The 27,520-nt window shown below is 48.0% G+C and overlaps 2 annotated features.

Annotated features, from left to right (window-relative positions):
• Positions 18,676-19,176: an enhancer, noted in NCBI's record as "H3K4me1 hESC enhancer chr11:8339910-8340410 (GRCh37/hg19 assembly coordinates)". NCBI's record gives its function as "activates a minimal SCP1, AML or CMV promoter by ChIP-STARR-seq in naive H9 embryonic stem cells {active_cell/tissue: H9 hESC(naive)}" and the evidence as "EXISTENCE:reporter gene assay evidence [ECO:0000049][PMID:30033119]".
• Positions 26,141-26,726: an enhancer, noted in NCBI's record as "H3K27ac-H3K4me1 hESC enhancer chr11:8347375-8347960 (GRCh37/hg19 assembly coordinates)". NCBI's record gives its function as "activates a minimal SCP1, AML or CMV promoter by ChIP-STARR-seq in primed H9 embryonic stem cells {active_cell/tissue: H9 hESC(primed)}" and the evidence as "EXISTENCE:reporter gene assay evidence [ECO:0000049][PMID:30033119]".

Here is a 27,520-nt window from a genome sequence, read left to right on the forward strand (position 1 = left end):
TAGCAAGTGTGAAGGAGCCAGCCACATGAGAAGACGGGAGGGCGCTTGAATGGAGAAAGGAGATTGGACGATGTGTGGCCAGGTGCTTTCAATATGTTTGGTTGAGGAGGTCAAGGGGGAGGGAGGCTGGGGCCCAAGGACTGCCTCTGTTGGGTGCCCTCAGAGTTTAGGAAACCTTGGTGTGGCCTCATCCAAAGCCCACTAACCTTGATTCCACTGCATATCCAATGTAATTCCACCATTGCACATTCATCAATGTACTTAAAATATAACTATCTCTGGGAGGAATACTCCAAAGACATGTGTTGCACTTTACACTAAATGCTTTGGGGATATCATCTCCCTTAGAGGTAATGAAGTAGGTACAAATTGCTCTGTATTACTTTGGATTCAGGCAATGACATGTTTTCTTATTTGTCTAACACAGATTAAATCTGGCACTGGCCAAGCTCACCAAGATGGCAGGAGATTCAATACCAGTCATTTGTAGGGGGCTCTCTCTCTCTCCTCCTTTTAATTTTACAGAAACTTAGGGGTTACACATCCCACAAAACTAAAGAGGACTTCATTCCTAGATATAGCTGCGTTTGCTCCTGATCTAGGCCATTTAAAGGCAGGTGGCTCTCCTGGGACCTGCTCCCATGGGATTGGAGCCTGGTTCTCAGCCTTCCACTGCTCCTCCACTGGAGCTAGAAGCACTATCTCTAGGCTGTCCTGGGGCTTGAAGACAGATCCTGTGGAATAGACCACTTGAGGGACCTCCCGTCTGAAGCTCATAATTTGGTCTAGAGGCCTGGGGATCCCCTTTGGCCATCCAAGGTCTTGGGTTGTGGACAAGCCTGGCACCATGCACCCTCCTTGTTGGCCCACCAAGGAGGGCCTGGTAGCCTGCCGTCTCATTGCTCTCCTGCCAAAGGCCTGACCAGCCTCTTGATCCCCCGCAAGCTGACCTAGCTCTGTGACAATTCAGAAATTGTGCATTCAGTGGGAAGATTAGGCCTGATTAAGAAATTTGCACTAATGAACTGTGCTTAATTGGATTTGGGGAAGGACACAAAATGGGCTGCTTGACATTCCAGGGTCCTCAGCAAAGTCCTGGGGCCTCCCTGTATCCTCCCCACAAAGCTAGCCATACCCCCAGCCCCTCTGCCCCCAGTGCCCCAGCCTTCGGCCTCTCAGCCTAGTAACAGAGAAGTTATCTGCCTAATCAGACTAATTAGCACTGGGGACACAAAGTCATAATCTACAAAGAATGCAAATGCCAGTTTTACAAAATGAAAACGCCATATGTGCAGTAATTAGCAAACCACGGGCACATTTTATAAATCATATTTATTAGTTTGTAAACAAATCAAGCTCTAAATGAAGTGAAAGATGCCATTAACTGAGATAGCAGCAGTGGTAGTGCTGAGCAGGCCTGGAAATGGGAGACTGGGGGTACAGGGTAGAAGGTGGCCCCAGAGCCCTGCCTGGGAGCCCACCAATCTCCTGTAACCTCCCCCCGACCAAGAACCCTGGTGTGGGTGGCAGGGGTCTGTGTCTTGGCTCTCCAGGATCTATGGCCCACTTGCTCTGCCACCAGAGCTCCTGCCCACCTGCTCAGCATCCCATGACTCTGGGCTGGTTATTCAAACCAGGGCTTAAACAAGTGCTTGTTCCTATGTGAAGACAAGATGGCACCTGAGCTCTGAGCTCAGCTCCAGGCCCCTCTTGCCTTTGTTTTGGAACCCCTGGCCTCTTTGTCTACTTACATATCTCTGAGGCTTGAGGAAAAGAAAATATCTCAATTGAAGGACCTTTATTTACTGACCATGCCTACTGCTCTGCTTCTCAGCCTCTGTTGTCCTTGGAGAAAAGCTAGGGGAAGGGGGCATTTCCAGGTTGATTCTCTCCTGTGGTGCACTCATGTATTCGCCTATCAATCTGGCTGAGCTCCGGCTGTGCACTCAGCCCTCCTCAGGCACTCAAAGTGTTGACATGCAAATATAAAGGTAAGTCTTAGCTTTCCAGGAGCTCCAGACTAGGAGAAGGGCTCTGGGCATTGACTGTGGCCTCCATGAGTGTGTTCTGCTCAGCACATGATCCTATCTCCTATCTTTGGTGAACTATTCCTCCTTTCCTTTGGAAACACCTTTCTGCCCCATGTGGCCATGATGAGGTTATCAGCCCAGGTGCCCTGGCACCTCCTCCACAACAAGGTAAGCACTCAGCCCAAGATGAATTAGTCTTTCCACTGCACACCCTGGACCCGGTGACACAAATTAGGCCCATCACTTTCCTGATCCACATTTTCTGAATAGAGATAAGGGAATTGTCAACTTTAGGATGGTATAGTTGGTTCACACTTTGATCATCTGGTCTGATCTATACAAGAAACAATGACAGTAAATTATATAAAGAGAACACCAAAGTTCATAGCCATGTTCAAAAATAAGATTAATATCTCCATGAACCAGAAATGGAATAGAAATTTAAAATGATAAATGGAACCAAGGCCATAATTTTGCTGGGCTCTGGGTCTAGCATCAAACAATGAGGTCGACAGTCCAATCCCAATAGGTTAGAGGGGACAGGGGTGCTCCTAAAGGGTGGGAGGAGTAAAGATGCAACTTTGTGGTCAGGAACGAAGGCTAGCTGCCTGCTGACTCTGTGACTGTGACTATAAGCATGACACCCCACACTACATCCAAGGGAAAGGAATGGTAAGCTACTATATAAGACCTGGTTCGGGATGGGAACAGGTGAAAACAGAGAGGGGAGAGAGAAGAAGAAAGGAGAAGGAAAAGACAAAGGAGGAAGAAGGAAAAAGAAAGGGAGAAAATCCTCACTTAAAATGAGCCTACAAAATCAATATTCCAAGTATATATAAAGGGATTTATTGCAAAGAAAAAAATCAACAATCCAAACAGAAATTCACTCTAGATAAAATTAATATGACTGAAGAGTCTGACAGTGACATTGGGCATGTTTAATTGGTCAAAGAGATAAAGGTAAAAGACTCATTAAAAGAAAACAAGAAAGTTACAAAATAAAAACAGGCATAAATATCAAGTGTTATGAAAAAGAATCAATTGAAAATCTGGGAGAGGAAAGTTACAATTATTGAAATTAAACGTTCAATAGAGGAAATAAATTCCAGACTGGGCACACTTAAAGAGAGAAACAGAATTGAATTGAAAACTACTATTGGAGAAATTCACCAAAATTGCATCACAAAGAGACAGAGTTATACACACATACATACACACACACACACACACACACACACACACACGCATGCAACTGAAAAACATGGAAGCTAGATTGAAGAGCGCCAACAAGCATCTAATAAAAGTTTCATAAGAAGCAAATGAAAGAAATAGTAGAGAAGCAATATATAAAGAGATAATTGTCAAGAATTATTGAAAATTGAATCAAGATGTAAGTTTTCATATTCAAAATTATACTCTGTAGTGGGTGAGACAACTTCAAATAGATCCACATCTAGAAACATTATAGTGCAACTTCAGAACTTCAAGAATTTAAAAAGGCCATTTAAAAAGCTACCAGAAGGAAGAGACAGGTCACAGAAAAAAAAAAAAAAAAAGACCAATAACAGGGTTGTCTTCACCAACAGTAGATGCCAGAAGAAAACGAAATAATATCTTCAAGGTGCTGAGGAAAAATAACAATCAATCTAGAATTTTATACCCTGCTAATCTGTTATCCAAAAGTGCAAGCAAAATAAAAGCCCTTATAGACATGAAAAGACTAAGTGAATACACCCCCATTGACCTTCATTAACATAAAGATGTCCCTGTAGTAAAAAGTAGACACAAAGGAAAAGCAAATGGATTGCAAGAAACCATGGAGGACCACAGGAAATGATAAAAAAACAAGTTGGTAAATTCAATTAAATCTTGACTATAAAAATAATACCTATATTTTATATGCTTAAAAGAAGATAACTTTTTTTTTTTTTAAAAGAAACTAACTTCTTTAGTGTAAACTAAACCTCTAAACAAAGATAATGAAATGGATGGGGATGTCCAATATAGCACCACATGAAAACAAGAAAAGGAAATCTCCAGGATCAGAAAAACAGTGTATTTATTACTCAGATGGCAATCAAGAAGGATGCTGTAGGATCCCATGCTGCTGGTGGTGGTGGTAAGAGAATTCAAACACAGATATATGGCATAGCGGCTGCTGGCTTGGTATTTAACACCCAAGCAGGGACTGGAGATTTAGCCTCTTGCCCATGAAAGACACAGAGCTGGAACTAAGTCTTTTGTATGTGGCTGGAAGCACTGAAGGCTGTCATCTATTTTCTTTAAAAAAAAAAAAAAAAATGGAAATAGAAAAACTAAACCCACAAGCTCAGGAGGCAACAGGAAAGTGTATTGTATGTCTGCAGCAATGAATGGGGAAAAAGTCCATGAGAGGCCAGGTGTGGTGGCTCACACCTGTAATCCCAGCACTTTGGGAGGCTGAGGTGGGTGGATCACCTGAGGTCGAGAGTTCAAGACCAGCCTGACCAATATGGAGAAACCCTATCTCCACCAAAAAAAACCCCAAAATAGCCAGGTGTGGTGGTGCTTGCCTGTAATCCCAACTACTCAAGAGGCTGAGGCAGGAGAATCACTTGAACCTGGGAGGCGGAGGTTTCAGTGAACTGAGATTGCGCCATTGCACTCCAGCCTGGGCAACAAGAGCGAAACTCCATCTCAAAAATAAATAAATAGATAGTCCATGAGAAATGGAAACCTTGGGAATGGGACAGAAGCAGGTATAAAATTCGAATGTATACTACCTGTGTGAAAGGGTCCACAAGCTGAGAGAATAAGAATTGGTCGGCTGAGGCAGGAGAATGGCGTGAACCCGGGAAGCGGAGCTTGCAGTGAGCCGAGATTGCGCCACTGCAGTCCGCAGTCCGGCCTGGGCGACAGAGCGAGACTCCGTCTCAAAAAAAAAAAAAAAAAAAGAATTGGTCTAGGGAACCCAGCAACAGCAATCATGAAACTGCTCAGAAGGAATATTTTGACAACTATAGCACGTGGGACTCTAATAAAAGCACAACCCCTGCTAAAAACAAGCTCAATAAAAATTTACAAATGACACAAGGAAATAAGACACCACAAGGAAGAATCAGCAGAAATAAGATGGTTCAAATATTTCTGACACTAGTTTCAAAAGAAGAGAAAAGAAAGAATGGGAGAAGGCATATTAGAAGAGAAAATGCCTAAGAATTTTCCGTAACTGAAGAAAGAGTTGAGTCTTCAAATTGATTAAATCCCTTAAATCATGAGAGGGATAAAGAAAACAAATTCATACTACACACATTATGAGAAAACTTCAAAACATCAAATAAAAGACAAAAGCAACTAGGGGCAGCAGAATGCCAAAAAAGCAAAACAGTTGGGCTGGCAGCAGACTTCTCAGCAACAAAATTGATTCCAGAAGACAGTGGAATAACATCCATGAAGTACCAAAAGAAAATAACAGGTAATTTATAATTTATTTGAAGAAAAGGCAAGATAAACATGAGAAAAATCCAGAGAGTTTACTATTCAAAGTTCTCTGTAAATTAAAAGATAAGGGGTGTACCTTACTAAGAAGGAAATTGAAACCAAAAGGAATGATGAACAAATAAATTAGAAAACACATTTCATTAATCTAAATAAGCATTGACTACAAAAAAGACATTTTTTGAAAGAGTTAAAAGCAGTGTAAAGCAGAAATATTTAATTTATTAATTTATTAATTTATTTTGAATTTATTATTATTTTTTTGAGATGGAGTCTCACTCTGTTGCCCAGGCTGGAGTGCAATGGTGCAGTCTCAGTTCACTGCAACCTCTGGCTCCCATATTCAAGCAATTCTGTTGTCTCAGCCTTCCAAGTAACTGGGATTAGAGGTGCATGCCACCATGCCCAGCTAATTTTTGTATTTTTAGTAGAGACGGGTTTCACCATATTGGTCAGGCTGGTCTTGAACTCCTGACCTCACGTGATCCACCCACCTTGGCCTCCCAAAGTGCTGGAATTACAGGAGTGAGCCACCTCACCCAGCCTAGAATATTTTATAATGATAGCAAGAAGATGGGAAGGAGGATTGGAGTTAAAACATTTAAAGATCTTTGTATTATAGGAGGCGAATAAAGATATTGATTAAATTTAGACTTTTAAAAAGGTTGTAACACCCAAAGCTGTAGAGAGAAGAAAAAAGGTAATAAAAAAACCCAATAAATCCAATTGAATGTAGGAAAGGGGAAGAAACAGAAAAATACATGGTAAAAATTTTAAAAGGTGGTATTAAAAACTCCAATTTTATCAGTAATCACAATAAATTTAAATGACTTAGACCCATTTGTTCGGAGATATTCCCAGATAAGATTTTTAAAATCCAGTTATAAGTTGTTTATAACTGACCTAATAGTTAAAACATAATTATACAAAAAGCTTAAAAGTAGAAGGATAGGGAAAGATCATAAATACTAATAATCAAAGGAAATGAGATATAGTGACATTAATAGCAACCAGAAGAGATGTCATGGTTTTAAAAAACTTGAGATTTAAAGAGGGTGACTGTTCACTGACAAGAAGAACAATTGAATAGAAATCTATAGTGAAGCTGAACCTGATTGCTCATAATACTATAACCTCCTTAAAGATGACAGGATTATCAGGGAAAATTGACAGAGGATATTAAGCAAAATACATAGCAAAATTGACAGACTTGTGGGAGAAACTGACAAACCTACATTTGTAATGAGAAATTTTAACACTCCTTTTCCAGAAATTGATGAAACAGATAAAATTATTAACATTTGTTTGATGTCCATATATAAAATCTTGTTTCCAATAATTAAAGAGTACACTTCGTTTTCAAGTGGAACATTTAAAAACTTGCCAGGCGCGGTGGCTCATGCCTGTAATCCCAGCACTTTGGGAGGCTGAGGTGGGCGGATCACCTGAGGTCGGGAGTTTGAGACCAGCCTGGGCAACATGGAGAAGCCTGGTCTCTATTAAAAATACAAAATTAGTTGAGAATGGTGGTGCATGCCTCTAATCCCAGCTACTCCGGAGGCTGAGGCAGGAGAATCGCTTGAACCCAGGAGGTGGAGGTTGCAGTGAGCCGAGATGGCGCCACTGCACTCCAGCCTGGGCAACAAGAGCAAGACTCTGTCTAAAAAAAAAAAAAAAAATTAGATGGCCATGGTGGCAGGGGCCTGTAATCCTAGTTACTTGGGAGGCTGAGGCAGGAGAATCTCTCGAACACGGGAGACAGAGGTTGCAATGAGCCAAGATCGTGCCACTGTACTCCAGTCTGGGCGACAGAGTGAGACTCCATCTCAAAATAAATAGATAAATAAATAAATAAAAACTGACTATATAATAGGACACAAAGGAAGCGTTAACAGATAATAAAAATTTGATATATTAGTGACAGATTCTATGACTTCAGTGCAATAAAGTTATAAAACAATTTAAAAAATTGGGTCCAAAGCACCTCACTTATTTTCTTTATTGTAGTGAACTATATAATATGTATAAAAGAATATGTTAATACACAGAATTTAAAGAAATATACCGTAAACATCTATGTAACTGTCACCCAGATTAAAAAACAGTACATTTTGGCCGGGCGCAGTGGCTCACGCCTGTAATCCCAGCACTTTGGGAGGCTGAGATGGGTGGGTCACGAGGTCAGGAGATCGAGACTATCCTGGCTAACACAGTGAAACCCCGTCTATACTAAAAATACAAAAAAAAAAAAAAATTAGCCAGGTGTGGTGGCGGGTGCCTGTAGTCCCAGCTACTCGGGAGGCTGAGGCAGGAGAATGGCGTGAACCCAGGAGGTGGAGCTTGCAGTGAGCCGAGATCATGCCACCGCACCTCCAGCCTGGGTGACAGAGCGAGGCACTGTCTCAACAACAACAACAACAAAACTCAGTACATTTCCAGGATCTCAGAAACCTTATGTATACCCCTTTCCAGCTGTATTCTCTTCCTGTTCCCTAGGAAGAGGTATCCACCACTCTGACTCTTAGGGCAGAGGTCCCCAACCCCTAGGCCATGGTCCAGTACCAGTCTGTGGTCTGTTAGGAACCAGGCCGCACGGCAGGAGGTGAGCGGTGGGCCAGTGAGCATTACTGCCAGTGAGCTCTGCCTCCTGTCAGATCAGCGCGGCATTAGAGTCTCACGGGATCTCGAACCCTATTGTGGACTGTGCATGTGAGGGATCTAGGTTGCAAACTTCTATGAGAATCTAATCATCCCTCGCCCTATCTTTAGGGTACTCATTTTTGTGCTTTGTTCTTACTGTTTTACCACTTGTGTATGTGTTCCTAAACAGTGTTGATGAGTTTTGACTGTTTTTCATCTTTATGTTAATGGAATCGTATTTTCTATCCTCTGCCTGGTGTCTGGTCATGTGCTGGGTACAGAGAATATAGAGTTGAATTAGACAGGAGTCCTCCCATCAAAATGATCATATTTGGTTGCAGAAATGGTAATTGCCACAGTAGGAATTAAGCTGTGGAGTAGGGGTATCACATCACAATCATGTTGTTGAAAAAGAGACTTCTTAAAGGAGTTGAGAGTTGAAATGAATTTTAAAATGATTTGACTTATTTTCCAATAAGACAAGGGAGATGAGAATTGCCATCAGTGTGAACATCAACTGTAGATCAATTCAGCCTTGTCTTAGTCAAGATTTCAAACTAGCTTAGACCAAAAAAAAAAAAAGTTAAAAAAGATTTACATAAGTGAACAGTCCATGTGATATGACTTCAGGCAAGACTGGATCCAGAAGCTTAATTAATTGCCAGCTTTAATCTCTTTTTTTTTTAATTTTAGAAAATAGAGATGGGGGTCTCAGCATGTTGCCCAGGCTGGTCTTGAACTCCTGGGCTCAAGCGATCCTCCTGCCTTGGCCACCCAAAGTGCTGGGATTACAGGTGTGAGCCACTGTGCCTGGCCTCTATCTCTTTCTATATCTATCAGATAGACTTTCTCTACACAGTGAATCAGATGGTCCTCAAAAACCTCAGACTCACTTCCTGTTGGCTTACCATTACAAGTAAGTGGTGCTCTCTTTTGTAAGTTCAAGCCAAAATTCCCAGAGAAGATTCTAACAGGTCCTGTTTGGGCCATGTCCACATTCCTACATTAATCATTGTCCCTAGAAGAATAAGGTGTTCTTGTTGTTCTAGATCACAGACTAGATCACCTGCCCATCTTATCCAAACCACATAGAACTGGCTCCTCACATGAGAGAAGGATTCTGTTCCCAGAAGTGAGAAAAAATCCTAAGAAGGCAAAGGCAACTGGAGTCCACCTGCAGTATGAGAGGTCACTTAGCATTTGAGAAACCACAGGCTCTTTGGTGTGACTGGGGAGTGGGCTGAAGGGGGACATGATCAGAAAAGAAGTAGGCTGGGGAGGTGACAGAGATGCAGAATGCGTGGACAACCAAGTTTTATTTTATGCTGAACATAACAGAGGCTTTACAGTGATTGGAGAGATTGAAGCAGAGGGTGACAAATTCAAATGCTCATTTTAGGAGGCTCCCTCTGGGGCCTGCAGGAGAGAGGGCTGGAGTGCTAAGACTGTTACAATAATCCTGGTGAGGAGGCTGAAATGAGATAGCAGGAAGGGAAGCCTTGTGGGGCAGGGATCAGGGCATGATCAGGTAGGAAACTAAGAAAGAAGTCGACACCATAGATGGGGGTAATGAAGGACGGGATGATGAAGGGAGAAGAGTCAAGCGACAGTCACGTTTCACATCTGAGTTTCAGGTGAGGATGTGCATCACCAAGACGAGGAGCCTGAGTCTGATGGGCCTATTCTGTGGTGGCTGTGGCTTTGCTCTCTCCCCAGCTTCTAGCCTCGTGTTAGAAACGCTTGAGGTTCTTGGTAAACCCTTATGGGTAGACTAACCGGGAATTGAATTGAAATGCAGATTCTAAGTGTGGCTTATGCTTCAAGCTGCAGGTCTCCTTGAGGACCCATTGCCAAGGCCTCGACAGCCCCATTGAAGAGGGCTGGGACTGAGCCTGTGTGTGTGTGTCTGTCTATGTGTCTGTTCCTATCTCTTTGTTTGAATGGGATGATTTTTCGCATACACCCCCTGACCTCCCTATCCTTGACAGCCAGGTTCCCAAGCCCAGGCATCCTACTGGCCAGGACCAGATAGGCTGTTCCTCCCAATACCTACTCTGGCATGGGGGTGTATCCCAAGACATTCTCCTCCTCTAGTTCCTCCCTTCCCACCCCCGCCAAACCTTCCAGAGGAAATCCTGGAAAGACTAGAGTGACAGAATGCATATCCCTACTCTCGCTAGAGACTAGGCTTCAGAGGGACCTGGCCATAGACAGGTGCTGCACCCTGCTGTGTGTCAGGTGCTCTGCAATGCCTTCTCTCCACTCACACTCACAACACTCTACGAGGCTAATAGTAGCACTACCCCCAATTGACAGGTGAGGACCTGAAGCCCAGAGAGGCAAACTGCATTGCCTGAAGCCCCTAATTGGTAATTATGGGATCTAAGTGCAAGTCTAATCAGAAGGTTGTGGGCTTCAGCCTCCCTGGGACTGTTGTCAGGAGGCAGGCAGCTGGAAGTGGTAGGGTCCCAGGCTCTTTAGAGAAGAAGCTGGGCTCCAGAAGGGGTAGACCAGAAGCCCAGCTTTCCTGGACCCACACCAGCCCCTCCCTGTTGGGTCTGGGTTTCTGGGGGCCCACGCAGCTGATGGTGATAGGCCAGAGAGGGTTGGTGGAGATGGGGGGAAGGGCTGGAGGTGTGGGTGGCTGGGGGTGGGTTAATGCTGCTGCCTTATGAAGGACATTTTTCAACTGAGCCGGTAACTGGAGGCCCTGTGAGTGTGTTCTGTCTCAGCAACTCCACAATCAGAGGATATGAACTGGCTGTGAGAAAGACATCAGGGGCTGGCTATTCCCAAACTCTTAGAAGGCACAGAGCTAGATTTAATAAAAGGAGAAAATGGAACATTCTCATTAGCACCAGATTTTCCATTTAATTTGGACTTTTACAAAATAAGTAGCCTAATTACTGCCATGATTTGAGCTTCTCAATAGGTTTTTCCTCTAAGAAGCTGCAGACGCCACACAAGCCCCATTCTCCAGGGCTCGCCCTTGTGCCACAGACCCTCACCGCCCCTGCTTCTCTGGAAGCAGAAAGGCTTCTGAGGCCTGAGCGGGGAGGCAGGGCAAGGCACGGGAGGAGCGCAGGTGTGCTGGCTCAGCTGACCTCTCAGGGCCCTCCCTGCCCCTCCTGGGCCCCCAGCTCTCAGCAGCCAGTGGGGAAGATGCTATTCCGGAGCCTGCACGCCTCAGCACTGGCCTAGCCTGTGTCTGAGCCCTGGCCCGAGTCTTGCCTGAGTCTCAGCACAGGGCCTAGGAGGTTGCTGAACTAAGGTGAGGTGCCAGTACCTTCACCCCAGGGCTCTGTTCTTGGCCTATAGAAATGACTGTAGCCCTGCAGTGTCAGCACACAAACCATTTACACCGACCTCCCAGCACTAGAGAGGCTGAAGAGCAGGACTGACGCAGCCCCAGCCTGGGGCTCCAGCTCCCTTCTGGACCCTCAAGGGCACTTGCTGTCCCCATTAGGATGAAACCTGGGTGCCTCAGGCTGGAGTGACCTCCTTCATCTCTTTTCATACCTCCCCCATATCCCCCACATCCCCCTCCCTATTCTCCACCTCGGCCTTTGGCTTTTTCCTCTTCCTTCTGCGCTTGAAGAGAATCCGGGATTAAAGAAACGGAGCAAGAAATTGCCAAGAACTAGCCTCGCAGACAATCAGATAGAGGGATGGAGGGCAGGGGCCCTTCCCCCAAGAGGAGCCTGGGCCGTCCAGCCTGATGGGGCCTGGGAGACACGGGGTGTGCTGGCGGGCAGGGGCCATGTCCCGGGTGTGCACAGTGCTGGAAACATCCTCCTCAGCCATGACCTAAACCCAAGTCCTCTTTTGTCCCAGAGAATCAGTCCCAGCAAAGGTCTCACTGCTGGGCCCTTGTCCTAGGTACACTCTTCTACCCCATCCGTCCCCTGCCAAGGAAAGCAAACCCCTCTCTGGCCCCTCTCCAAACCAAGCCCTGCTGGCCCAACACCCCCAAGGGCTCCAGGCCCTGCCGCAGCCTCAGTCCCCTAGTTTTTCCCCCACTTCTCCAAGGAAGAAAGAGGTAACCCCAAGCCCCTTATGGAAGAGTAGTTGGAGGGATGTGAGGAGGCACCAAGAGAGATGTTATTACTAGGATTTTGGTAAAATAAGGTGAGATGTTTTCCTGGGGAGCTGTGAGGTCCCTCTGACCTGGAGGAGGCTCTTATTATATCGGCAATTTCTTGAGCCAGCCCCTTCGCAGGGGTCAAGGAGGACACAGAGGAGAGTCAGGTGCAGTCTCTGTTCTCATGGAGGGCTCAGGTTAGTGGGAAAGAAGTAGGTGATGTTCTCCCCATTTGTAGATGAAGACCAGAGCCTCAGAGATGTTGGGTGACATGCCCAAAGTCATCCAGCTGGGAAGTAGGAGAGCTGGGATTCATTCGTACTTCAGGGCAGGGCCTATGTCTATTTGCTTTTCATCACCGTAATGTCCAATATACATACAGCAGAGCGTGCGAGTCGATGGCTTGTTATGTATGTGCTCACCCATGGAATCACCACCCAGATCAAGGTCTCGGTCACTTCAAGCATTCCAGAAGGCTCCTTTATGCCCCCTCCAAGTCAGTACACCCCCACAGAGTTCCTCTCTATTCTGCAAATCCTGGCACGTTTTTTGTGGGGTGAGGGGTGACATTTCTTGGCCCAGGTGACTCCCTGCTGATGCTGTAACTCAGCTGTCCTGCAAAGATGGCATGGCCCAGCACCCAGCTGGCACACAACAAGAAACCCTGGCACTCTGGAGGGTGAAGAGAGGTGCTGTGGATAATGCCGGGACCACAAGGGTTAACAGGGGCTGTCCCAGCCTCACCTTCTCAACCCGGCCCTGGTGAGCCAAAGTTTTTGGTGGGAGGTGGCAGGGGCAGTGTGCTCATCTGTGGTAGCACAGACCTGGTCCTCCAGCCTCTTCTAGTGACCTCCCAGTCTCAGGACTCACCCAGGAGAGTGGTGGTAAGGGAGCTAATGCTCTCTGGGGTCTAGAACAGGCTTCCTTTGCCCCTGGTTTCAGGCTGTGCTTTCCTTAAGAGAGGACTTCAGAGGCAGCTAGAGGAGCCTCCATGTCTGCCATCCATAGACAATGGAGACTTAGGAAGCAGCACCCCATACCCCTGTCCAGCCAACTGCCCCAAGAGGCCTTCCCAAGCCTATGGGCCCCAGACCCCTAGCACCACAGCCAAGACCCTCACCTGCTCCACCCCACCCCGCCCCATCTGCATCCACGGGCCAGTGGGGGACCATTCAGTGAGATCCTCCCTGTCCTACGGCCTTGGCCGTGACCCCAGCTTGGCCTCTTTGTCTCTCAGCCAGGCCAGCCAGTTCAGCGTTAAAGCTGCTGGAGCATCCAAGGAGACATAAAGAAAGTTTAGAGACTTTTAATTTGCCAGCACGGCTCTCCGCTGGCCAGCAGGTTGAGCGTTTGTGGAGAAGGGCAGCCGCAATAAAGGCTTATTGTTCCTCTCTGAACCACTGCTCGTGACTCCTTTCTTAAGTGAGACAAAGGGAACCCAAGGCCCACAGGTGTCCCCAGGCCCAGAAAGCGGGGCCCACAATTAGCTAAAGTCCCCCAGGGTCAGGCTCTGGGGGTGGGGGCCCAACTCAGCCCCTGTCTAGGCTGTACTCACAGGAGAGCACAAGCCTGGGACATTGTCGGCAGGGAAATACTCTCCAGTGGGGACCCCAGGGCACCAGGAGACAGGACTCCCACAGGGAGGGGGCCAGAGCCCCCTGCAGAAGCACCACACGGAAGAGCAGCTGCAGGGGAGCCGCGGGGATGGGCCTCGTGGTCAGGGTCCTCCCTGGGTGCAGTGGGGGTGTCCCGGGAAAGGCTTCCAACAGCCAGAGAGGCATCTCTGGAGGGAGAGAGTTCCCCACCACAGGGAGCATGTGAGCTGGGAGGGCACCCAGAGGGAAGGTGGGGCTCCAGCTGAGCAGGTCACTTCCAGTGCCCAAAAGGCCAGACTTAGGAAGCCCAATCAGACCCTCTTGGCTGGGCAGAGAAAAGGCAGAGCACAGGAATGTGGTGACCCCCACAGAGACACCCTGCCACTGAGGCAGCCACTGGGAGCCAGGTAGCCACACCCCTGGGGAGAGGTGGCACCATGTCCCATAGCATGCCTTGCTGGGACCACCCAGAATCACATCCCATAGGCAGCACTGCTCAGAGTCTCGGAAAGGAGGCTGCACAGTTTGTCTGTCCCATCCTTCACTCACCCACCATGAGGCTCAAGACCTGAGAAATACATCGTGGCAGATGGTGATGATGGGAACATCCTTTCTCATTCCCCACTGTGCCCTCCAGAGACCCTCTACTTTGCTGCCCAGGACACTAATGGCTTTGGAAACATTATGTGGTTTGTGAGTTCCTGAAATAGTCGCATTTCAGGCCATGAGGCTGCTGGCAGGGAGTAGGGCCATCATGTACAGCTGTGTAGGTTGTGCACTACACAAGGGGGCAAATGAAGAATGGAATCCAGACTTTGTTCTCACCAGTCCCTGGGCACACATGGTCTAACATACACAGAGGCATTGTATGTATATTACTGTGTAATATAGATGTAAATATATTACATACAATGCTGCTGTATTTGATACACTGTAATACACAGAGGAACTGTGTGTGTGTGTGTGTGTGTGTTTGTGTGTGTGTGTGTGTGTATGTGTGTGTGTGTGTGTGTGTGTGTGTGTACTGTAATACAGAGGCACCGAAAGGACTAGTGGAGGCCCGGAAGAGAGGGGGACATTTTTAGCTAAGAGGCAGCCACCTCTCCCATGAAGACTGGCCTTGCCACAGTTTGGCTCTAGCTTCTCTAGGGCACTCTGACCAAGGGTCACATTTCTGAAGCTTTTGTGACAGACCCAGTTCTGGTTGGCTTCCTGCCCCTCCATCCCTCGCATGTGGGGCCTTCCCTGGGGTTGGCAGCAAGAGCAGGTGTCTGAGATTGTGATGTCTGCACACAAGGCTACAGCCCCAGTTGCACCTGGAGCTGCTACTTCAGCCCTCCAACCTCCTGGAGCCTCTCTGCCTTAGGTAATTGGATTGGGGAAAGGGAGTATTATTTACTAGTCGTATGGATCTATTCCTCTCAGCGCCCCCCCACCACCACCTTCCCTTTTCTCTGCCTTGCCAAAGAACAAAGATTGGGGATGAAATAAATTTGATAATAACCAATAAGGACCCCCAGAGAAAATAAAACAGCTTTTATTAAACTTCTTCCAAGACCTTTTGTGCTGAGCCTCTGCAGGCTGTCTCGGAGACTTGCAAGGCTTGGCTCCTTTCCCAGCCATCTAGAGGAGCCCCAGGTGTGGCCCTCACGGCCATCCCTGCAAACACCAGCAATAACTCGGGGCCTCGTCCTTCCCATCACTGTTCTGAGTCAACTCCTATTTGAAAGGCAGTTAGGGCCACAGAATCGCCTTTCAGCTGTGTGTTGCCCGGCTCTGAGGTTTTGCTAGAGTGGCCTTCCTCAGCCAGGCCACGGCTCCGGGTGGCCAGTGCTGACGGGTCCACAGCTCCAGAAGCCACCGAGTAGAGGCTCGGGGCCTGCTGCCATCCATCCCTGGAGTCATCTCTCCAGGTTGAGTACGGCACGATTTAATGCTCCCATCCCTCCATTCCTGCTCTGCATGACAAATTGTTTTAATAAACATAAACCGGGTAATAATAAAGTCATAATAAGCCCGCGACTCACCTTATATCACTGCAGTTAAATCCTCCCATAAGCCGGCACTGGTTACAATGACAATTACGGCCGGGCCAATCCGCAGGCAGGCCTGCGTGCGGACAGATTTAATATCGTTTGTAAATATGATTAGTGGGCTGTCATGTTATTGCAGGCTGCTATTTACATTTCTCTCCGGGGTTATACACTCCGCCAAATCAACATTAAGTAGTGGGTCTCTCTTTCCTCCTTAAATCATACATTCCTTCTGCCTGCGCCAATCCCGCTTAATGAAGAAAGGGAACCTGACGGCAGGCGCTGGGCAGAACGGAGCCTGGCCTCGGCATTTTTCTGAAGACAGATGGGCACGGGGAGCCCCAAGAAAGCTCTGCCCAGAAACTCCAGTGGGTACACGGGCCCTGTCTGCTGCAGCCCCCTCCCTCCCACCCGCTGCCCCGTCCCTCTCCCTGCCTGCTCGCTTATGAAAAATGTTCAAATAATGAATGGTTGTTGTTTACAGAAGCAATTTCATGCTACATTTCCATTATTGCCCGGATTTGTTTAGCTTCCCACCCTACCCCATTGCCTACGATGAACTTTTAAGGAAATATTGCTGGCGCTTCCCGCTCTGCCGTTCTGCTTCTAAGAGAAGCCGCTTGCATTTGAGACATATTGTGACACTTCATAACTGTGTGCAAATAAGCATCCCTAAACTGCTGGTGTCAATTAATCATTGTTGCAAAGGCTGATCTGCTTTAGGTGCACCAGAATCCACTCCCTGGGGAGCCAGGGTGGGTGAGAAACAGCAGAAAATCTGGTGTGGAGGGTGCAGGGGACAGGGGAGAGCAGAACCACGATTCTGCTTTCCAGATCAGCTAAACCACTGGAGACAACACGGCTGTGTTCCTCTCGTCTTCAAAATAGGTTCGTGTGGGCCCATAGGCCAGAGTGTACAGAATGGCTGGGGTGAGGAGCCACTTGAAAGAACTGAATAAAAAATGAATACCATATGCCTCCCATGCTTCCTAAAGAGAGCACTCTAGACAGGATTTAATCTTCTTGTGATAGCCAAGGTCGCCGCTGTGTTTGGAGATATAATATATTGATGCACTTTGAGGCTATCATGGCTGCAGAATGCCCCAGCACCGCGTTTCCTGAGCTCTGTGGTTGGATGCGTGCTGTGTCTCTGTCCCTTCTCTTAATGTCAGGCTATAGTTGGGGTGTCTGTCCACAGCACCCTCACTTCCTCATGCTATTCCTAATCTTTAGGGAGCTGGAGACCAGGAAATCAACTTTGGAGCACGAAGACTAGAAAACCAAACCTTACAAATGTTTTGAGAAAGAAGATGAAATAGACTCTGAGAGCATGGGAACTGTCCGCAAAGTAAGATCAGAGCCTTTTGCTTCCTGCCTGATTCTCAGTTGAGTTGGAGCTAGGAGAGGGACCAGATAGAGGCTATGAGAAGCTATATCCTTAGGCAGAACTGTGTTTGTTCATTCACTCAACAAACACTTTGTACGTTAGGCACCTACTATATACTAGGCACTGTTGTAACCACCCAAGGGGTTCACCTTGCCTACTACCTAGCCAGAGCCGATTCATCAAGACAGGGAAATTGCAATAGAGAAAGAGTAATTCACGCAGAGCCGGCTGAGTGGGAGACCAGACTTTTATTATTACTCAAATCAGTCTCCCCAAGCATTATGGGATCAGAGTTTTTAAGGACAACTTGGTGGGTGGGGGGAAGCCAAAGAGCCGGGAGTGCTGATTGGTTATGCAGGAGATGAAATCACGGGAAGTTGAAGTTGTCCTCTTGCACTGACTCAGTTCCTGGATGGGGGCCACAAGTTTATCCATCTGGATGGTGCCAGCTGATCCATCAAGTGCAGGTCTGCAAAATATCTCAAGCACTGATCTTAGAAGCCATTTAGGGAGGGTCAGAATCTTGTAGCTTCCAGTTTCATGACTCCTAAACCATAATTTCTAATCTTGTGGCTAATTTGTTAGTCCTACAAAGGCAGTCTAGTCCCAGGCAAGAAGGAGGTTTATTTTGGGAAAGAGCTGTTATCATCTTTGTTTTAAACAATAAACTGTAAACTAAGTTCCTTCCAAAGTTAGATTGGCTTACGCCCAGGAAGGAACAAGGACAGCTAAAAGGTTAGAACCAAGATGGAGTCGGTTAGGTCACATCTCTTTTGCTGCCTCAGTCATAATTTTGCAAAGGCGTTTTCACTGTGGATCAAGTTCCCTGTTCTCATGGAGTTTACACTTTAATGAAAGACGGCGCAAGGCTGCTGTGTATGGTCACACAGTTGCACACTGCACAACTCTGAGACAGCAGTGCACCCTGCATGAAGAATGTAATGCGAACAGCATTCCTTGAAGCTGTGCAATGTCACAGCTCTGCAAGATAGTTAACTAAGAAGTCAGAGAATTTTGGAGCGGGATAACTGCTATGAAGAAAATAGTAAGGGGTACAAAACAGAAATTGATTGGAGACATGGGGTCTCCTTCCTTCTCTGAGGAGGTGGTGTTTGAGCTGTAATAAACATATATCCCCCTCTTAGTGGACGCACGCAAATCCTTACAGACCCTATGTGCATGCACACCTGTGTACCCTTTCTTCTTCATTAATGACTCCTGAATGAAATGGTTTCTCCTCATAATGGCCTACAGTTGCCAAATTTTGTATAATGCATATTTATTATTTTAATAAAAAGAAATAAAGGTATAGGTTTTTTTTTATGTAAAGGGAGATCTAGAAACTTCTGGGGATGATTTTCATCCAAAGGGTTAAGTGATAAACTGTTGGTGCTTCAATGGCCACACATTACACTATCTGGAAAATGTGGGTCACTTGAAAACCTCATTCCCAGAGGGTCAAGCATGTGTGTAAGGAGAGGTAGGGATGGGTGTGTCTACGGGTGACATGACAGGCATGTGGGCGACCCCAAGATCCAAGGTAGAGAAACAGACCACAGGTTCAAGGACCACGTGTTCACTGGGCATATCAGCCAGCGCAGAGATTAGGGTTGGGGCCGTGGCCAGAGAACTGTCTCAGTCCCAACAATGCAGAGGAAGCGTGAAATGTGATGAAAGAGTGTCGCTGGGCACTGAAAGTGGAAATTGGTATTGATTTTCCAGAGCCTGATGCTCAGGGGAGCGCATCAGGTGCAGCCTTACAGGCGTGGTCCATTCGCCCTGGAGGGCCCACAGGGTCTGTGGCGCCCCCTGCCTGCCTTGTGTGTCCACTCCACAGGGCCAGCTCTCCCAACCTAGCCTCCACAAGTTCTGCAAAGCACCTTGCCCTCTGTGCCACAGGCCCTGCTCAGAGAGTGGAAGGGAGGTGATGGTGGGAGAGGAGAGTCCTGGGTGGGCACAGCTCTTGGCTCTGAGACATGTAAACAGAAGTCAGATCACTGCCCCAACTCTGGATTCCTGCCCTTCATCACGAGTTGCCACCAGGCACCAAGCTGAGCCCCCAGCATTTAAGCCTGTCCCTGCACGAATCCAGAGCCATGTGGGAGAAGAGCAAGCTCCAGCTAGGAGCTGGGAGCAGTGAATGGAGGTGAAAACTCCAATGAGTAGCCCTGGATGCAAGACCAGTGCAGCCCCACGAAACCTCACACCCGCAGGCAGGGGCTACCATCCAGGGAGGTGATATAATGCAACTGGTAAGAGAGGGGGGTCTTCAGAGTCAGCCAGGCCTGGGCTGTCATCCTCACTCTTTCATTGCCCAGCTATGTGGACCTAGGCAGATTAGTTAACTTTCTAGAGCCTCAGCAGTCCCATCTATAAAATGGAGATATTCGTTGTATTGTGAGGATTCCATCAGATAAAGCAGGCAAAACACGTAGCCCTGGCTTGGCTCTAGTATGTACCCATGACTGTTAGCTAAAACAATAGCAACAGAAACCAAGGACATAGGGCAGAGCTGAGGCCCACCTCTGTTCCCACCCCCTCGACTTTCCCTTCGTGAACGGGACTGCCATCACCTCAATTGCCTGAGGCAGAAACGCTGGGATGGTCCTGGACTCCTCTCTCTCCCCCAACAATGAACTAGTCATCTGGTCTTGCCTGTTCCACTTTCTGAAGATCCTTCCATTCCCATTGCCTCCTCTCCTGCCAGGCACCATGATTTCTCTCCTAGGTCACTGCAGTAGCTCTAGACTGGCCTCCCCAAATCCACTCCTCCCTCTCCATTGCATTTGACACCCACGTCTAAAGCAGCTCTGGATTCCTCACATTCTGAGTTAATGTCTTCAGTAGCACCACCCCCCTCCCAACTTTATTCTGTCCTTGCCTGTCCTCCTGTCTGTCTCCCCCAGTGGAATGTGAGCTCCTTGGGCAGAGCCCTTGGATTTTCACCACTGCACCCCCAGTTCCTAGCACAGTGCTTGGAACAAAACAGGCTCATAAAATGATAAATCCTCAAAGGCATGAAGGAGTGGCCTGTTGGGAGTGTGGTGAGATGGGAAGTAGGGTGGCTGGGGCAGAGCTACAGAGGTGGTGGAAGGCACAGGAAGAAGAAATAGTGGGCAGGAGCCACTTTGTGAAGAGACTGGAATGGCATGGTAAAGATCCTTCACTTTCTTCTGCAGGCAGTGGGAATACATTGAAGGTTCCACGCGGTTCAAAGACATGATGTGCTTTCTGTCTTAGAAAGGTTGCTCTGGGTTGGGGAAATGTGGAGGAGAGATAGAACAGACAGGAAATGCTTCCAGCTAGTCTTCTGGATGAGCCAAGGGTGGCTGGGCCAGGGTGACGAAGGCAGTGGAAAAGGGGAACCAGATCCAACAGGCTCTTTAAGGAAGCGAAATGAACAGGACCTCATGACTGTTGAGCTTGAGTGAAGAGAAAAAGAGAGAGGTGGAGGGCCTAGCATGATGCCAAGCTTGTGGAGAATTTCCAGACAAACCTGTGCGATGGGATTGCCATTTGGCAGGATGCTGAATATGGGAGGAAGGGCAGTTTGGACCAAGGACAGTGAGTTGGGGTGGGAGGAAAGTGATGGGTTGCATTTTGAACATGGATCTCCCAAGTGAAAATGTCTGGAATCTGTTTGCTACGAGGGTGTGGAGCCCAGGGGATAGCTCAGGGCTGGGGACAGAGATGCGGGGGCTTCAGTGCACAGCTGAACCGTGTGAGGAGCCGTGGGATGGGCTAGATTGGGAGGGCCATGTCTGATGCAAGGAAGGGGTCTGCGTTAGAGCCCCGGGGAACATCAACATTTCAGATGCCAATGGCGGAAGAGGAGAGTGGGGAGCAGCCAGTGAGGCAGGGAGGAGAGGAGAAGTTGGTGGGGCAGCAGGGGGGGCGGGGCGGGAGTCAGGCAACACAAGCAGGAAAGAACTCACAGAAGCCAGGGCAGCCATGTAGCCCGCAGAGACCTGACAGGAACGGAAGGGGTTCCTATGTGTGGGAGGCAGTCGGGGAAACAAAGATGAAAAAAGTGGGTTTTGGTAATGATTGGGGAGACTTGAGTATATATAGTTACCTATTGATTTAATTTATATCCTACTTTCTTTCCAAAATTAGTGAAGGCAGCTGAAGAAAATGTGATCATGTTTAGAGCTGAGGAGAGAACAGAGACGCGGGGCCAGGCTCACTTCTTTCACGGTCGCCGGAAGGGCAGCCCACCTCAAAGGCCTGCGTGGAAAATGGCCCTGAGCACGTGCTGTGTACGAGGCGGGGCCATAATCAAAGTGGGGACAAAATCAGAGTTGGATGAGGTCAAGGTGGGAGTCAAGATGTGTGAAGTCAGGGTGGGGTCACTGGGAGTGGGGAGGCGAGGATGGGGTCAGACAAAGGCAGAGTGGGGTGAGATTAGAGGGTCCAGGTATCGAGGGAGTGAGATCAGGGTGCATGACGTCCCCAAGGGAACAGGGTGAGGTTAGATTCAAGTGCCAAACAGGTAAGTGTGGTTGGGGGAGCCAGGGTGGGTGGGACCCTAGCAGGAGTGGGTAGGAACAGTCACTCTGAGTGGTGACTGTGACGACAGCTGCCCTGTCCCTTCTCCAGCCCCTGTGTGTACATGTATACACAGCTGGGTGGTGTGTGTGTGTCATGTCCTTTTGAGACTGCATGCATGTGCTCCCTTGTGGATGTGACACAGGGTGCATATTTTGTATAGTGTGCATGTGCATGCACTTTTTCTCCAAAATCGGAGAATGAATCTAGTATTATAATCAGAAATTAGATAAACACTCCTCAAAGCCATGACCAAACATCCCATTATCTCTGGTTCCTAAGTGTTATTATGTTTTCTAATAATTTATCAAGGCCAAAGAACTTGGGAAGTGATATGGAGAGAGATGACCTTTGGTCCTTGGTGGCTTTGGAAGGACATATTCTCAGTCAGTGGGAATGCGACAGGGGGCAGGTGGTAAAGAACTGATCCTTCAGGTCTAGAATATTCTCTGCAGCTTCCCACCCTGCTGCTCTCATGCCCTGGCAGTGAACCTTACTGAGCCCAAACTACCCTTCCGCCTGTATCAGCATCTGCATGAATGAACTGTCTCCCCATCCCCTAATCCAAAGGTCCCCAACCCCCAGGCTGCGGACCGGTACTGGTCAACGGCTTGTTAGGAACCGGGTTGCACAGCAGGAGGTGAGTGACAGGCAAGCAAGCATGACCACCTGAGCTCCACCTCCGTCAGATCAGCAGCAGCTTAGAGTCTCATAGGAGCGTGAATCCTATTGTGAAATGGGCATGCGAGGGATCTCGTTTGAGCACTTCTTATGAGAATCTAATGCCTGATGATCTGAGGTGAAACAGTTTCATACCCAAACCATCCACCCTACACCACTCCCTACCCGATCTGTGGAAAAACGGTCTTCCATGAAACCAGTCCCTGGTGGCAAAATGTTGGGGACTGCTGCCTTAACCCATCCTACGACAGGAGCCAAAGGTCCTTCAGTGAAAACTTCAGTGGCCCCCATTGCCTCCAGAGTCAGGTGCAAAATCCTTACCTGGGCATTCCAGACCCTGCCTGCTCTGGCATCTGCCCATCTTTTCTTCTGTTGCCTCCCTGGCCTCTGCGGCCTTGTCCCAATCACCCTACTCCTCAATGCCCACCCCACCCCAATAAGGCCCCTATTTCATGCCTGCAAGGCTTTGCAACCAGACACTGGTTCAATGTGTTGGCTCTAAATACTAGTAGATATGGGACTTGGAGGTGGCCCTAGTAGATATTCATTCATTCATTCATTCTTTAATTCAACAGATATTTATTACTTGCCTCCAGGCTCTGAAGATATGAAGATGACTAGAACTCAGACAATGACCGCTGGGGCTGGTTATCCCTCAAGAGAGAGTCAGACTAATAGAGAGTGTCAGCCAGGCTGACACCGAATACAATAGAAGCTCCACAAATCTATATTGAATAAATAGGTGGACAAATGTAGTAGGTGTTATAATAGGTTCATGCATAAGGCGCAATGAGACAAAAGAAAAGGAACCATCTTCACCTCTTCCTGGAGGTCAGGAAAGACTCCACCAGGCTAGTGGCAAAGTAGACAAACTCTTGGGGTCGACTAGGAGCATTCCAGGTGCCAGTGGGGAAGGACATTCAGCAGATGACAGCACAGGCAAAGGAGGAGAGGCAGAAAGGAGCGGCATAGGGCAATGAGATCTCTTGGCATGGCTGGGCACAGGGGTGGGGTGGGAGGGGGCAGATGAGACTGGGGAGGAAACCAGCTCTCATCACAGAGGGCAGTGAGTGAGGACTTCATTCTGTAAGTGAGGGGGACTCGTCTAGCTGGTCAGGGGAACGACGATTCAGGGGGCCTGGAAAAGGGGAGGCATTTGAGTGCAGGTCTGTGGGACTTGGTTGTTGAACAGAGAGCTGTGCCCTGGATGTGGCGGCCCATTCCTAGAAGGGCCCCGTGCTTAGAGTTTCATGCCCTGCAGTTGCCAGCTTGAAATTCTTATCATCTTATCTTTGAATGTGTGTTTTGTGGCGAAGCCTGATGGGACATGGAGGCTGTGCCCGGGCTTGGAGCACAGTCCTACTTCCCACTACCTCCCTGGAAGGGAGGACTTCTCAGTGGCTTAATTCCTCCCACCTAGTGCCCCAGCCTCCTCAGCCTCCTTGTCCTAGGGCTGTGCCTGCCACCGCCCTCCACACCAGGCAGGGTCCGTCAGAGTGGCAAGGAAAGGCTCCCATTCCACGGTCACCTTCCACCCTGGCAGTGTTCCGTGCAAAGAAGCAGGGAAGACCAGGTGTGTGCCCACAGCTTCTAGGGTGGGGCAAGGTGGCAGCCATCCACCCTGGTCTGAGAAACTAAGGTGTGTTCCACAGTCAGCTCCATGGGGGCCTCTCCCTCATCCCAGAATCAGGTACTGAGCAAGCTCTGACATGGAGGTCGTAATCCCTGGGGGTCACATACCAGCTGTGGGTTGTGGTGACGGGCCTCTGAAAAGGGGAGGCTGACTTCCCAAATCTGGGCCTGGGGCCACATTTTCATTTTGCACCAGTCTCAGAAAATTATGTAATGGTTCCTGACTGGATCAGTGTTCTCTAATGCAGGGTGCATGTGCCCCGAAGACTTTAGCAATCACATGCACAATAAGCAAGACAGTTTGGAGATCACCCGTATGGATGCCCGTGACAAATACCACCACCCAATCAGCAACATCACACAGATGGAGGTGCCCCCATCTAGAATGGGGTCAAGGATTAACTTTTGACCAATGGCTAAAGGAAAAAACATCTTGAAATAAGATCAGAGACAGCTATGTATGTCCCAGTCTTAACCACATGGAGTCCCTGCCGGCAGAGACAGGTTCCCATCCCAAATATCCTCATGCCTGGGTACTAGGTGGCAAAGGGCCTTTTTATCTGTGCAGGATGACAGATGAGGCACGTGGGGTGCAAAACAAGGCAGGCCCTTTCGTGGCTGTCCCACCGTTTGTTCTGGCTTCTCCTTTGCCGTGGCCATGATGGAGTAAACAAGAGAAAGCTCTATCATTGCTATTTATTGCAGATTTCAGGGGTGGATGGATCTCTGTGGGCTCTGTTTTTATGGATTTGCCCATTGAAAAAGACTAATTGTGTCCTACCTGTGGCTTAGGTTGCTGTTAGGACCTTCAGTGAGGTGACTCCAGGAATTAAGAGTTGGAGGTTTGGCTATGCCACTTACCCCTGTGGGACATTGGGCAAGTTATTTAACCTCTGAACTTCTGACTCCTTGTCTACAAAAGGGGGACAGTAATAGCACCAACTTCATGGTACCATCGTGAGGATTAAATTAAATAAATCTCCAAATTTGTAGTGCAGAGCTATTGGATAATGATAATAATAAAAGCAACTAACACTTTTTATTGTGCTTACTTTGTGCTAGGTACTATTCTCAGTGCTTTCCTTCCATATCAGTGTGTTTAGTTCCCATCACTATAAGACAGGTCCTACTCTTATGTCCATTTTACAGATGGAGAAGTTGAGGCTCTGAGCCAAGAAGAACTTGCCCCAAATCATATAGCTGGTAAACGGAAGAAGCAGGCTACCCAGGTAGTCTGGCTTCAAGATCTTCGTTCATAATCATTGTACTATTCTGCCTTGTTTGTTAAAATAAGTGCTCAGTAAGATGACAGTTGTTTTTTTTTCTTTTTTTCTTTTCGTTTTTTTTTTTTTTTTTTTTTTTGAAACAGAGTCTCACCCGGGCTACAGTGCAGTGGCACAATCTTTGCTCACCACAGTCTCAAACTCCTGGGCTCAAGCAGTCTTCCTACCTCAGCCTCCTGAGTAGCTAGGATTACAGGTGCACACCATCATGCCCAGCTAATTTGTGTATTCTTTTTGTAGAGACAGAGGTCTCACTTTGTGCTTAAGCTGGTCTCAAACTCTTGGGTTCAAGCAATCCTCCTGCTTCGGCCTCCCAGAGTTCTGGGATTACAGGAGTGAGCCACCATGCCTGGCTTATTTTTCTATTTTTAAAAATTATTTTTCTTTCACACACATGCCCACACTCCTGTACTCATCATCACATACATATATCTATTTGTGAGCCTCTCAGCTGAGAACTTGCCTTCCGAGGCAATGGAAGTTCAGGGGCCCGGGATCATGTTAGAAAGGTCACTTCTTGGGAACATGGGCCTGGTAAGGACATAGAATAGCCAGAGCCAGGCTGCTGCAGCCAGAGGATGCCCACGCCCCTCCCACCAGGCCAACAAAGGGCATGCACAGAAGCCAGAAAACAGAGGGGGGGGCCTGGCTCTCAGCTAAGCCCATTGCAAGCAGCAAGTGGTCCCTGGTGTCACATGAGGGCAGGCCAGGCAGCCCGGCTTTACCAGTGGGAACTGGGTTTCCTAATTCCAGAAGGTTGGCCAAGAACAACCCACGCCCTTCCTTACTCTGTGGTATGATTCAGGGGCAAAAGACCTGCATGCAGGCTCCTGGGAGAGGGGAAGAGAAGGCAGTTGTGAACTATTCCCTGGGATCCCAGCTGAGTGGTCCTCTGGCCCCGCTTCCAACCTCCAGTGATAGGGAGCCTACATCCTCCTGGGGTGGCTGTGATAATGTCATTCATCAGCCCAGCAACACCATCCACCTGACTGTAGCTCCTCCCTTCAGAGTCTAAGCAGGCCCCTTGAAGCCTCCCAGGGCTTGTGGAATCCTTATGCAACCCGGCACTCAACGACCCTCCTCCCTGACAACCAGGTTTGGCCTGCTCCAGGCCAACACCCCGCCTTGCTTTCCCATCTGCTCAGACCACCTCAACCAGGTCCCTCCTACAGCAATCGGACCTGGGACGGGGTCCTGAAGACAGCAGTTTGTTGGAGTCAATAAGAGACAATTGGAAAATATTCAGGAATTTTTTGAGTCAGTTATTAAACTATTAGTTGTTTAAAATCTGCCACTGTGGGGGCATTTACATCAAGGAAATTGGCAAACACTGTAAACCAGGACCTTTTCCCCACCTGGAGAACTGATTTAGTAGCATGCCACTGCCCCATTCCCATAGCCCAAGTGTTTGGAAAGGTCTAGGGGATTTTGTGTGGGTGTGTGCGTGTGTGTGTGTGTGTGTGCATGTGTATGTGCCTGTGTGTGTTTGCTTTTGTGGGTGTCCCTGTATGGATCTGTTTACGTACATACATGAGCATGCACGAAGTGCATGTGCATTTGTGTGTCCCTGTTTGTGTTCTGACAGAGTGGATTCTCTATGGCAAGAATTTCCCATCATAGGGGAATTGTCCCCTAGAGGTCTAGCAAGGAGCTCAGCACAGAGAGCCTGCCCTGTGATGGCACAGGCTTTCTTCAGCCATCCATGGGGGTCTTGGTCCCCACCGTAATTGTATAGTAAAAGGCTGGGGCTTCTGCGGAAAGAAATCCAGTCGCGGCTCCAGAGTCACAGCACCTGGTCCAGTAGCCACTTGCTACCTCTGTTCACCAGCTGTGTTCTGATGCATTTGGTTGTTATCTGATGTTTAAATCCTCACGGGAAACAAAGTTTGGTCCTTTTGGAAAGTCTTAAATAGAAAGCAGTTTAAAACCAGCAACAACAACTACTGGAGGTTAGTGAAGGGATAACCTGTAGTTTTCCAAGTCAAATGGTGTTCATAGTGAATCCAGAACAGATCAGTGAGGAGGCAGAAATGGAGGGCCTGTTTCTATGTGGCTCTGTTCACTACGACAGGTGGGGACAGGCCAGGACTCAGCTGAGCCAGGCACTTGTGGAACGAAGTGGGAACTTTTTCT

This window comes from Homo sapiens, chromosome 11 (genome assembly GCF_000001405.40).
Source record: "Homo sapiens chromosome 11, GRCh38.p14 Primary Assembly".
In the NCBI taxonomy this organism is placed as follows: Eukaryota; Metazoa; Chordata; class Mammalia; order Primates; family Hominidae; genus Homo; species Homo sapiens.